The following is a 13,964-nucleotide window of genomic DNA, read 5'->3' as shown; positions in this document are numbered from 1 at the left end:
TTCCTACATACAATGGGGGTACAGGCATTAGGTAAATACAGCCATCCCAAATGGGAGAAATTGACCAAAACAAAGGGGCTACAGGCTCCATGCAAATCCAAAATCCAGTGGGCAGTCAAATCTTAAAGCTCCAAAATGATCTCCTTTAACTCGGTGTTTCACATCTAGGTCACGCTGATGCAAGAGGCAGGCTCCCACAGCCTTGAGCAGCTCTGCCCCTGTGGCTTTGCAGGGTATAGCTCCATTCCTGACTGCTTTCGTGGGCTGGTGTTGCATGTCTGTGGCTTTTCCAGGCACACAGTGCAAGTTGTTGGAAGATCTACCATTCTAGCGTCTGGAGGATGGTGGCCCTCTTCTCACAGCTCCAGTAGGTGATGCCCCAGTAGGGACTCTGTGTGGGGGCTCTGACCCTACATTTCCCTTCCGCACTTCCCTAGCAGAGGTTCTCCATGAGCTCCCCACCCTTGCAGCAAACTTCTGCCTGGACATCCAGGCATTTGCATACATGCTCAAAATTTAGGCAGAGGTTTCCAAACCCCAGTTATTGACTTCTATGCATGTGCAGGCTCAACACCATGTAGAAGCTGCCAAGGCTTGGGGCTTCCATCCTCTGAAGCAAAAGCCCAAGGTGTACCTTGACTCCTTTTAGTCATAGTTGGAGCAGCTGGGTTGCAGGGGACCAAGTTCCTAGACTGCATACAGCAGAGGGACCCTGGGCCTGGGCCACAAAATCATTTTCTCCCTCTAAGCCTCTGGGCCTGTGATGGCAGCGGCCGGGGGCGGGGTGGGGGCGGCTGCTGCAAAGGTCTCTGACATGCCCTGGAAACATTTACCCCATTGGATTGATGACTAACATTTGGCTCCTTGTTACTTAGGCAGATTTCTGCAGGCAGCTTGAATTTCTCCTCAGAAAATGGAATTTTCCTTTCTGTTGCATTGTCAGGCAGCAAATTTTTGGAACTTTTATGCTTTGTTTCCCCTTTAAATCTGAATGCCTTTAACAGCACCCAAGTCACCTCTTTGAACGCTTTGCTGCTTAGAAATTTTTTCTACCAGATACTCTAAATCATCTCTCTTGCCAGACAGCACACTCTCTGAAAGCTCAGGAGATGGAGATATCTTTGTGGGCTGCTTTGGTGGGGGATAGGAGGAATTGTTTTTGTGTCTATCAGAGTAATGATTCCTCAAGAAACAAGTTCAAAGTTCCACAAATCTCTTGGGCAGGGCAAAATGCCACCAGTGTATTTGCTGAAATATGGCAAGAGTCACCTTTACTCTAGTTCCCAAGAAGTTCCTCATCTCTGTCTGAGACCACCTCAACCTGGATTTCACTGTCCGTATCACTATCAACATTTTGGTCAAAGCCATTCAACAAGTCTCTAGGAAGTTCCAAACTCTCCCACATTTTCCTATCTTCTTCTGAGCCCTCCAAATGGTTCCAAACTCTGCCTGCTACCCAGCTCCAAATTCACTTCCACATTTTCTGGTATTTTTTCAGCAGCACCTCACTCTACTGGTACCAATTTGCTCTATTAGTCTGTTTTCATGCTGCTGATAAATACATACTCAAGACTGGGAAGAAAAAGAGGTTTAATTGACTTACAGCTCCACATGGCTGGGGAGGCCTCACAATTATGCCGGGAGGCAAGAAGGAGCAAGTCACATCTTACACAGATGGTGGCAAGCAAAAAGAGATTGTGCATGGAAACTCCTGTTTTTAAAACTATCAGATCTCGTGAGACTTATTCACAATCGGGAGAACAGCATGGGAAAGACCCACCCTCGTGATTCAATTATCTTCCACCTGGTCCCTCCCACAACACATGGGAATTATGGGAGCTACAAGATGAGATTTGGGTAGAGAAACAGCCAAACCATATCAATGTTATTAGCTCTACATACGATCTGTAGGACTTCCTCATTAGGACAGCTATGGAGGGTCTCAAAAGGGCATTAACCAGCATGACAATTACTATGTTCCCTGATGGAAAGTGCAACGATTTTGCTGTTTCAAAATCTTAAGTCTACCTTCAAAGATGTAAGGGTTTTTTTTTTTTATAACAATATGTATGCAAAAATCAGCTTTGTGCTCCCTGAATATAAATCCACAATAGGACCTGTAACTTGTGTGCTGAGTAGGAAATCACCGGGATAGGCAAACAACCTCTTACGAAAACTTCTTTCAAGAGACAGTGGTTACTTGGAGGCCTAAATACTGGGATGCTTATTTACAAAATAATCTATGGTTTGCAATCATGGGATCAATTTAGTTTTACAATCCAGTATTTGAGCACTTAAAAAGCATTCAACTTTGTGCTACGTACTCAAGGCACAAAGATTGCAAAGACTAAATTCTTATATAAAAGAAGCTTGTGTTTCATTCAGTCAAGAAGTTATATACATATACATAATCTCAACCTGATGTTATACATGTTATTGTAGAATTATATGCTGGATATACAAGAGACTCATGACCCAAACTGGGACAACAGGAATGGCTTCCTGGAAGAAGAGACATCTGAGCCCAGACCTGGAAGAATAAGAGCCGGGTAAGTAAAGGCCAGAAGGGCACTTCAGGCAGAGGGAAGAGGAGGAGCAAAGGCACAGCCTTGTACAGGAAACAGCAGTAAAGGAGAAGGGGAGAGGGGAGTGGTTGCAAAGAGTTGGGCATTACTGAGTTGGGCTGGGGAACTGCAGGGCATAGCGGGGCTGAGCAGCAGGCTCCAGGGTCAGGCCATGGTGATCTTGAGCCTGAATCTAGGGACCTTGGCCTTCATTCTGTAGGCATCAAGAAGTCATCTTAGATAGGGAGTGACATGGTCATATTCACACTTTGGAAAGATGATTCCATAGTTCAAGATATTCCAAGATCCTACAAGCCATTGCTATACTTAGTTCTGTATCCTGACTAGCAAAATGCTGGGTGTATAGTATTTAAAAGCCACCTGATCCCATCTAACACATTTAATAGCTTGTGACATCATCTGGAGTCATTCTGCCCTTGAATATCCAGATAATACAGGGTTGAACTTCCATTCCACATCCTGCAGAAAGTCCAGTGTCCCAGCCAGAGTTCTAAGAGTCCCTGGGTTGCTTATGTTTTCTGACTCTAAGCTCTTCAGTGACTTAATTCGTTCAGTTAACAAATTGTTCTGAAAGTTCCTTCTCTGTTCTGTTGCCATATCAACCCAGGTCTAGGACTGGGCTCCTATCTATGATTTTCATCAAAAGCCACTCCCACAACGTGTTAGTGTGTGCCACAGACATTACTGAAGGATCAGGGAGGTGATAGGGCTTACAGTGCCAAAAATGTAAGCCATCCAAAATTGCATATTGGATATTCTTGTTTGTCACCTTGAGCTCCAAATTTCCACGGCACACCGTGTGCCTCTGCCCTCTTTTCCACCCTGCTGCTTCACAGCTACTTCCTCATCCCTGACTTGACTTTTCTCTCTGCAGAATACAGAGCAATGCAGCCATCTGTAGCCTACTTTCCAAACTTGGCTCAGGACCTCCTTTGGCAGATCCAGATTTTCCTTCCCTTGTAGCTATAGAGAAATTTCCCTTCCCAGGGGCATCCCTAGCCCTCCTACCAAGGCAAAAGAAGCTACAGTTGGTTTTGGTTTTAGATAATCTTTTTCCACCCCCATTTCGCTGGATTTCTGAGAGACTGGAAGTTGCATACAGACCGGCGTGCCACTTTTGGTGAACTAAAAATATTAAGTAGGCCCACTGAAATATTATCTGTCTCATAATAGAGACAGTTCACAGAGTACTGGGAACACATTGCCTGCTGCAGGGGAGGGAGAAGAGAGGGAGAATGGCACGTAGTCTCTGTTCTCAGCATAGTCCTCCCCGGAGGTTAGTGGATCCTGACATATGGGAGGTTGGCCTTGTTTTCTGAATGGAAATAGGCACTGGGGCTAATGTCTGGGAAGAGGCTGCTTTCTGTTTCATAAGCTGTTTGTTACTATTTGGCTTCTGTGACATGCATGGATGCATTTCAGAGACTCACCTTACTTCCTAACATACAAAGAATCCTTTCCTGAAAGTTTTGGCTTTAGGAGGCTTTGTTTTCCCAAACAGCATCCATTCCTGTTTTTTTTTGTTTTGTTTTTGTTTGTTTGTTTTTTTTATCTTAAAGAGTCACAAGTTATTGTTGAATTTACAGGCTTACTATGAGAGCAATTCTTACTCTGTGGGTGACTTAAGACATTGCTGAATGAGGTCTCCTTCCTGGTAATGTTAGGTGGCCACTTTCTGCTTCCTCAATGGGGCCTGTTGCCTCCTGTATCAGACAACTATCAGAGACTCAATGACCTTTGGGTTCCTTTTAACTCAGAAATACCAGGATTCTAAAATGTCTTAGGGAAAGTAGTTTTGATAGTTCTCCAATATTTTTAGAGACCAGACAGGTAACAGGGAAAATATAAAGCAGTTGGATAGATAGGATATGCTGGACCCTGCCTAAAGCCATCATATTTTTTAAAAATGATGCCATTCATACAAACATTCCTCCAGAGACCATTACTCAAGAGCTAGTATGGAACTCCATATTAAAATGATGCTGCCAAAATATGTCCCTTGGAAGGCCTTTACACTGAAGGTAGAAAAGAACTTCCTTTGAATGGTTGAAGCCTTTGAACTTTTCGGGGGCTGGAATTCGTGCTCTGGGCTCTTCTTTTCTTCTGAATCCTGAATTCTTTTGGTTAGAGAGGAGAGGCATGGCTTTTCTCCTGCGTTCCACGCAGCCTTGTTTTCTTCCAGCCTTCCTGGTGTTGAGCCTATCATCCCTGCCCAATCAGGGAGGCAGCCAAACAGATATCCCACAGGCAGAGGGCACAGCTGAGCTAGGAACTGGTGAGATTCTCCTGGATTAAGGGACCATCTACAGGCTGAATTCCCCGTACTCTGGGGAGATAGCCTGTGCACACACCCCCTGTGATGGACCGAATCTGGAGTAGAGCTTTCTTTCATCCCCACTGGCTTAGCTCACATCGTGTCCATCTACCAGGACCACTACCAGAGTCTTCTAATATATCTCCGTTTTCACCCTTGCCTCCCAGCCGCCCATTCCAGACAAAGCAGCCAGTGTGAGCCTTTTAAAACTGGATGTCATTCTATCGCCCCAAGCCCACTAAAAAAGTTCTGTCACTTAAAAAAAAACTGAGTCCCAACCACAGCTCTTGAAATTGACATCACTTGGTCCTCTTCCTTTCTCTCCTCCCACTCTGCCTCTGCCACCTCCTGCTACCAAGGCCACCTTGCTTCTTCTTAGAGGAATCAGGCATGCTCATGCCTCAGGATTCATTATTCATTATTCATGGCTTCAGTCTTTACTATGCCTCAGTGGGCTCATAACACATTTCCACCAGGTTGTCTGCTAAATCCTCTCTTTGGAGAGCTTCCCTGACCACTTTATCTAAAATAGCACATTCTGCTATTCTCTAGTCCCTTACTCTGTTTTGTTTATCTTTATAGATTTTATCACTGCCTAACATATAAATGTCTGTTCAGTGCCTAACTCCCAGCTAGAATGAGCACCATGAAGGATGGGGCTCTGGCCTCTCATGTTCTCTCTGGTTCCCCAGAATCCAGAACAATACCTGGTACATAGCAGGCACTAAACAAATGAATGAAGTAAAGACAGCACATATAGGGGATGTCTATGTGCGGCTATAAGGAGGGATACCTTCTGATGTGGCTGATCCATATATCCTTCCTCAATTTTGTTAAAAGTTTAAGAAATGTGTGTGCTTCCCCGTAACTGATGTTTCTTCTAGGATGTGCCAATTATAAAACTGTTCTGGAACCTTTTAGAAACTGTTACTTTAAGTCCCTTGAGGTCTGAGGAGGAATGCCAGTTGCTATCTAGTTATTTAAAATTATCTTCCAGCATTTAGAAGTCCTGCTTAGCAAACCACAGGGCTACTTGTTTGGGGTCAGGTCAAAAGGCAAATTTCCCTGAAACTTTAAAGGACAAATCTTTAAAGAACAAATCAGCAAATCTCACATGTAAGTGAGTAAATTTAAGACAACATAAACAATGACTAAGGGTATAAAATATACTCTCTGCCCTCAAAACCAGTAGGCAAGAAATGCCTCTGAATTGAACACTATAACATTAAATGTTCATGCCTAAAATCTAGCATTTCACATTTCCTAGATTGCGGGCCAATCATATTTGCTGAGTTTGATAAATCCAAAGAGTGTGCTATATCTTCTGGAGTGGTATGAGGTATAGTCTGTCTTCTTACCCCCACTAATTAAAAATACATTTCTGAATAATTGGTGAACTTAAACCAATCATCCGTGTTCTTTAATCAGCAGAGGGTCACACACGAGGCTTTCTGCAAACCTAATAGGTGCAGCATGATTAATCATTTTAATTTTTTTGAGTAAAAAAAGATCACCAAATGCTAGCATTTCAAGGGGAGATTTAACAAGGAATACTTGCAAATGGAATTTTAATACAAGAGTACAGATCAAAATCAGATCTCCGAATAGACATAAGGATTTTTACTTTAAAAAAGATGAATCATGATTTATTTATTTATTTATTTTTTGGTGCTAGAGAGGGAAAGAGCTGTTGTTTGAATGAAGCACTTTACACGTGTTGCCTCTCTCTTTTATGAGAACTATGAAAGTAGGTGTTGTGATTTTCAGAAGAGGACATAAGCTTGGATGGTAAGCAACTTACTTGTGGCCACAGCTGATTAAGTAGTGGAAAAACATCCAAACTTGTATCCACCTCACTGCAAAGCTGGTGAGATCAACATCTCAAACAAAATGCAATATCTCACTTATTACAGACTCACTGTTGAGCTTTAAAATATTTTTTTGACTGTTTCTCTTTCCTTCGATTTACTTATTTTTCTCCTACTCTTTTGGATCCTCTGAGTCAATTTCAAGGTTTAGTGCCCAACTAATTCGAACAACTGGGGCCATTGCTTAGAAAAGTTTTAGGTGGAATATATCTACGACTCACAAAAGTTTTAGCCTTATAAACGAATTTCAACACAGACCATCTAAGAACTAACGAGGAGACAGCATCAAAATGATTTTACTTGTAATGTCCTTTCCTGTCCTGCCGCCCTGGGATATGCCCCCCTTTAGCCAGGTGTGGCCTGTTCTCAGTCACCTACAAGAAGGAAGTGCTAGGCTAACATTCCTAACTAAGTAACAGTAGCTTTGACTTCTGTCTTTTTCATGGGAAGGGTAGAGAGGGGAAATTTGAGAGGATAATATACTGGCTGTCCATGGTGAGGCACTAACTGTACTAAATATGGCAAGAAAGGGACCATCTCTCAGTTTTTCAGCCTGAAGTGTCCAGACCTGGGTGGCCCTACTTGTTCCTAGAAAGGGGTGACTGAGTCATCTTCAGTGATTCAGTTGAGAAAAGGAAAAAGATTTGAGTAAAAGCTTTTATAAAAGGTCTCTAGAGAAAGGAAAGGCTCACAATTATCCCAAAAATAAACTTTTATTTAAATGTACAGTTCATTAGTAAAAAAAAGTTTATTGACAGGTCATCAGGACTCTGCATTCTAACATGTGCCTTTAGAATTCTGAAGATCCTGAGCATGATAATTTGGTTGTATATGCCGGACTCCTGAGGCATTACATGCTTTTAAATCGCATTCTAGTATCAAGTGACATTTAAAAAGAGCAAGATAGTTTTGTCAAAGCCAGTCATTTTGTTCAAAAAAACTCTCTTCCTCCTTGCATGTGTGTTAACTGAGAAATACCCAAGTCTGGTAGTTCTACCAATCTGGTATATTCCAGAATACTTAAGATCCAGTGCTGGAGTTATAGCATCATTGAGTTACAAGCCACAGTTCTTCCTGTCTTTTTGGCCATGTTTCTCCCTATAGGAGAGCCTTGAAACTTAAGATTTGTTGTGGTACAGTTTGTTTTCTCCCAATATCTTATACATAGGAATGAAGTTGCCTGCTTATAAATTCCTTTAGGGAATCTTTATCATTTTCTTTGCAATCCAACAATCTACTTCTACTTCACTTGGATGGCCAAGGAAAATAATTCTGGAATGTCTAGCGTCTTGAAGGTATAACACGTAACTGAGTTAATCTGTGCTGACCTGATGTAGTAGTGCTAGTAGTACACTTCCATTACACCACCATACTGGATGCCAGCCATAGCTGGCATCTGAGAAACTGTTGAAGGATCCTAACATCAGCAATGAGGAGGACTCAGCAAACATGCAATGCGACATCCAGCTCAATCTTTGTACAGTACTGCATCCCCTTCTAAGAGAAGACGGCAGTAAGCACATAGGATTTGGAACCATAGATTGTTTGTAGCCTCAGTTTTTACCTATGTAAAATGGAGATACCTATTAGGGTTGCTGTGAAGAGCAAGTAAAAGACTTGGGAGCACTTACTTAGTACAAAAGTAAGCATATGGTAAGAATTTAAAGGAGATTTTAAGTGCTTTGGCAGCCATCTAAAGACTATGCAGGCTCCCAAATATTTGTTTCCATGTCCTAGGAGGTAGTCAAAAGAACTGAGGCAGAAACATTCCATTTATGTTTCTAGGGTTTAAACCATGCAGTCTTTTAAGCCTTCTTAAGTATGCAAGATGCTATCACTCCTTAAATATCAGACTTAGATCTCTTCAGACAGGTGTAGTGGAGAACACTTCGGTCACCATCTAACACATTACATTCATCATAGATAAAGGTACCTGTGACTTTCACCGGTAAAGTCACTTACCGGTGCCTGTGTGTGACAGTAAATACAGCCCTAGCATTGATGTGATATTCAGTAGTGACATCTGCCCTGCACATATTAGATGCCAGACACTGTGCTGAGCTTTTTGTGTGCATCTCACTTAAATCTTACCTTGTCACAGTGAGACAGTCCCCATCGTCTCTACTTTACAGAGGGAGTTAGTAACTTGCCCAAGGTACCACACACAAGACACGGAAGTCTATGCTGTTAACTACATTGCCTGCTGCTTCTAAACAGAACCACCTTGTCACCCATCTGACTTTTTCCTTGAGCGCAGTGAAGAAAAAAGCCATTTTTGATATGCCATGAGGTAACCTGCGGAGCACAAACTCCCCACCCGCAGCTGGTCTCACTCCTGTCTCAGTGTTTTTGCATTGAGATTTTTACAGTGAGATTTACAGGAGAACACTGGGTCATGGTCCTACTTTGTTCTTTTTCTCATTAGCCAGGCTCAAAAACGTGAAACGGACTCAGGAGACATGATAGAGAGATGGAACACCACTGTTATCAGTTTGTTAGTAGCTTATTTATCTATGGATCCCTAAGTTTCATATCTAGAGCCTCACTGGTAAAATGCATTCAGCTTTCCTGTGTGAAGGTAGATGTGAAAGGGATATGCAAAGATGGCTGATAATCCTTCACATGCAACTGTTTCGGCTAAAAATCCTCCAGGCTGGATTAGAGAGAAATAAGTTCGAAAAACGCCATTGTTCCCTCTTCAGATTCATTCCCTCCATATTTGGAAATAAGTACCTTTGAAGATTTTTGTACTTTTATATATTTCTGAACTCTCATAGTTTAGGCCCATGATATGGCTGAAGCATGGATGTACAATTTTTAGTTTTCCCAAGAAAAATCATACTTGTTAGGATATTTACTCGAGTAGTTTTTTAGTATTACAATTCTAGAAGAGAAGTCATTATAAGCCCCTTCTGGCCTTAGAGACTATATAATACCAAAAATACCTAAAAACCTTTTCTTTAAGAGAGTGAAATCGCTTGATGTGCCCTCCCACTCCGGTTAGATGCTTAACAGACGACAGCAGACAATGCACCTCAACCAGGGCTAAGTGTGCACACTTGGCCAGCAGCCGCCAACAGAACGGGCAGCAGCAGCAGTTAGCACTGACGCAACTATCGCTGCTATTGCCACTACCATCTCCCCACTAACAGGGCTTGCAGAATATGTAATACCCAGGGGATTATATATATGTGGTTTTTAGGCACCGCCTCATCACCCACAATAAGGGAAGCTTCTTTCTACTCTTTAGCTAGTTGCTGCTCCTACTTGTTAGGAGTTTGATGTATCAGACCCTTTTGAGAAATGTCTATGTCACAACTACGTTCAGGATAAAACAATTATGAAACTGAAGGGCTCAGATTTGGGGATCAAGATTAGCAGGTTGTATTCATAGTACTTCAACTTAAATTAGCAAAAGTATATCTGCTTTTTGCAAGTTTTTGCCACCATTGAAAGCAAACAGTATAGCTTTCATTTGGATTCAAAATAATAAATTGTTTTACTTGGGTAAGATTTCACTAGTAAGAATTCTAGGAAATTATTCCAGTTAGATTACGTAATAGAGATAAGTGACCCCTAGAATCTTTAGGTTTGGGGTAAAGATTGTTAAAAGGTAGACTTTAAGTTGGTCTACCATTTCTACAGTGTTCTTAACTGAAGAGTTAGTCTTTTAATACCCTGTAGTTTGCTATTTAAAGCTTGGCTTCTCATTTTTGAGAAGGGCTACTTGACTTCCACAGATACAAGGAACAGAAGCAAATGCCAAAGTGAAAGCCTCAATTTTTTTTTTTTTTTTTTTTTTTTTTTTGCCTTGTATTCATCAAGAACTAAAGAGGCAGCGATACCTAGGCTTTAAAACACCTACTAGAATGTTTTAAGGGAGCTAGTTGAACAACTGGGACTATTTTTTTGCCAAATAGATTAGCTTGCAAAGGGCACTTAAAAATTTGGACAGAGGAACTTGGCTGGATTTCTTTACCAGAGGCCACAAATCTGTTTATTCATCTATCATCAATCTTTGTGGCAATTCCTAAAATTTCTGGAGGGTCCACTTTCACTTTGTGTGACAGGCTCATCTAACTCCAAATATTCTCCTTTAGTGTATGATAAGCTTCATATTTTACCTCTTAATTATCTTCTACATTGAACTCTAGAGACAGAGCAAACTTATCCTAACACATTTCACATAGAATTCAAGTTATTTTTTGGGTGATAAAGCCGAGGCCTGTTATCATTCATGCACTATTATTGCAAGCTGTATTGACTAGTAGTTTAGTCATATAACTATTTTTTTCTTTTATTTTTATAAATTTTTTTTTTGTAGAGACAGGGTCTCACCATGTTGCTCAGGCTGGTCTCGAACTCCTGGCCTCAAGTGATCCTCCTGCCTTGGCCTTCCAAAGTGCTGGGATTATAGGCGTGAGCCACCATGCCTGGCCCACCAATATATCTATTCTTATTTCAATAGGAATATCTAGTTACTTTGTTTCTACAAATGAGTTTGTACCTCGTAGGTACAATGAGTTGTACCTTGGCTTCTTACTGGGGAGGACGTGGTAAAAAAAAATGAGACGTTTTAGACTCTTTGAGGGTTGGAAATTTTACCCAGAACATGAAAGAACATACTAGGGACAGGAATTCAAAAGATGATGATAGAGAATAATACTTTATTTGCCAAAACAAACTTTGGGCCTTATAATTAATTAATACTGTATAATCCTTATAATGGGGAAAGCAATAGTATCAAACTTCAAGCTTCTAAAGGGAATTTGGTATTACTCCAGTTAAAAAAAAAAAAATCCATGTTTTTTGTACCACAGCAGGGTCAGAGCAGCAGCCAAACTCTGAAATGGCTTTCAGAGTTCATGATGAATGCTAACCTACTTACCAAACAGGCACTTCAGCTACTCACTGTCAGCAGGCCACATCCTGTTCAGTGTGATGACTAAATGTAGAGTGAGGAAAAGGTGGAGAGCAGACAGTTCTATATTCATGACTACAGCCTTTTCCTTCTACATGCTTGACCTCCAAACCTCCCATGAAAAAAAAGTCCAAGGCTATCTTTTCTTTTTCATTCAGTTGACCAAAATCACAAGGGGGCATCCCTTAAGACAACAGAACCAACTTCCCCTTCATCTAGTAGGATTAATGTCCTTGCTTAAGCCACAAACAAGATGTTAACTGCCTTATATTTCATATGCAAGTGAAATATGAGTCATCCACTGATTCACGTAGCAACGCAAAACATCTTCTCTTCATCCTCTTGGTACTGTGTTGGTCGGTCATTTAATTCCAGAGGAATTGCTGTACCTTCCACAGCCAACTCTCCACCTCACTTGTGACACACAGCATGCACCCGGTGCTTCAAGTCTTTTGTCTTTCCTTGCTTCCAGACATCCTGAGACTTTAGAGAAAGAAAGTAATGGCCAACCTGATGGAAAATTCACTAAACTCCCTGTACAATTTTTTCTTTGTCTCAAACTCCTCATCTGCTCTTCATACTGTAAGTTCCAGAAATTGTCCATAGTAAGAATCTGCCCCATCCCAGCCAGGATAAAAATTTAGGTGATATTGCAATTATATTCTTCATGAAGTCACAGTAAAACGGTGGTTTTTAAGCTTTAGTTTACATCAGTATCGCCTGAAGGGCTTATGAAAGCAGGTTTCAGCCCTCGCCCCCAGAGTTTCTGATTCAGTAGGTCTGGGATGGGGCTGGGAACTTGCATTTCTAATACATTCCCAGGTGATGCAGATGCTTCTGTTCTCAGGACCACACTGAGAAACCTGCCTTAGACTGTTCAAGAATGCCATTGCTTGCTATCCTCCCTGGCCATCTTCACAGTAAGACAGTCTAGACTTTCATAAGAAGAAAGCCCTTATCCATGCCTTAGAAGGCACTTGTCCTTGACCTATATAAATGACAGAACATGGAAAACAGAGACTTAACTATAAAGAAGCAGAATTCATAGAAATCTTAGCACGTGTTTCTCGATCAGGAAACAAGTTAATGGAAAAAAAAGAAACTCACTCCTCTAACCAAGAGGAATTCTAGGTACAGACTAAGCTAGCTTCTTTTACACAGTAAGAAATATTTCGGGAGCAAATGTTAAACAGTACTTCATTTTTTAACTGTGCTAGGGTGTAAGAGAAACCAGCCCAATTACAGGCTTAGTTATACAACATCAAGAACTACAGCTCACACATTTAGTTAGAACACTTGGTACTACTCAGGATAGGAGTTCATCCTAGAGGAACAGGCACAAACCATGGTTAAGCTGCTTGGTTTAATTTTTTAGCACTTGAAAAAAAATGTACAGTAGTTTGAACACTCAGTCTTTGCAAACCTCCATTGAGGTCAAAGATATCATTCATACGTACAAAATTAGTTTATAAATTTTTTTGGCAATTTCATCTTAGTAACCCGTTTTGTCCTATTGCCATTGTCCCAACCATTGAAAAAGTTTACAATAATTTACATAGAAATATTTTCAAAGTGCTTAAGAATAGTGATTGTTCTCTGGGATATTTACAGATGGCCTATACAATGTATGTACAGGTGGTATACACTATAGCACAAGTTTCACTGCTGGAATATGGCTTTCTAGGGAAAGTGCATATTTGGCCAGAGGTGGCAATACTGTCTAGAAATTCAAGGGTTACAGATACTCGGTAACCACATCCAAAGCTGAAGTAGAATGTGGACAAGAATATTTACAAAAGTAATATAAAAACGGTCAAGTACACAAGCTTGATCCACGCAAAGGTATCTTGATGTTCTTCCAGCCGAGAGGAAGAAAAAGAGACTTCAGCTGCTGGCTCGGTTACCATTCCGACGGGGGTATTATTTGTTTAGACCTCAAAGGTCAACATTTGTCACAGAAGTCAAGCTAGATCATCATCTGTGCTTACAACTGATATCTGTGGAAAAGAAGAAGTATAGAATGAGCTTGGTGATCACTCACTGATGGCAACTCTAGTCTTTAAAATGGACCTTGCTTTTGAGTTGGTCATTCAAACACTCAGAGTGCTTAGAAGAAAAGTCAGTCAGATACAAAAGAATACTGAGTTGTATCATTCATGCATTTAACTTGAATTCAACTATACCTGCTTGGTAGTGAGATAAGATAGTGTGACTAATTCTGTCTTTTCTACTTAATGATCATAAGTCTTGGGGAAAAATGTGAAAAGCCATGTGTG

The 13,964-nt window shown here is 41.1% G+C and overlaps 1 protein-coding gene and 1 long non-coding RNA gene across 6 annotated transcripts in view; one reads left to right on the top strand and one right to left on the bottom strand.

The window, feature by feature from the left end:
* Positions 1 to 13,964, top strand: part of LOC105375957 (uncharacterized) — a 45,278-nt gene that overhangs the window by 26,944 nt on the left and 4,370 nt on the right. Inside the window, exons 1-2 of one of the 2 annotated variants that reach the window (XR_929435.3) lie at positions 173 to 367; positions 2,443 to 2,549. This is a non-coding gene — a long non-coding RNA (uncharacterized LOC105375957). Of the gene's footprint in view, positions 1 to 172; positions 368 to 2,442; positions 2,550 to 13,964 lie in introns of those variants that run through there. The other variant, XR_929436.3, reaches the window with a different exon arrangement.
* The window catches only part of VLDLR (very low density lipoprotein receptor), a 38,270-nt gene continuing 31,767 nt past the window's right edge, over positions 7,462 to 13,964 (bottom strand). For all 4 annotated transcript variants that reach the window (NM_003383.5, NM_001018056.3, NM_001322225.2 and 1 more), the window contains one exon: positions 7,462 to 13,685. In NM_003383.5, coding sequence (NP_003374.3) covers positions 13,650 to 13,685 — 36 coding nt within the window. In that variant the 3' untranslated portion in view covers positions 7,462 to 13,649. The remainder of the gene's footprint in view (positions 13,686 to 13,964) is intronic.

The sequence above is a fragment of the Homo sapiens genome, chromosome 9 (genome assembly GCF_000001405.40).
Source record: "Homo sapiens chromosome 9, GRCh38.p14 Primary Assembly".
Taxonomy (NCBI): domain Eukaryota; kingdom Metazoa; phylum Chordata; class Mammalia; order Primates; family Hominidae; genus Homo; species Homo sapiens.
The sequence above is the reverse complement of the archived record's forward strand: the minus strand, read 5'-3'. Positions and strand labels throughout refer to the sequence as shown.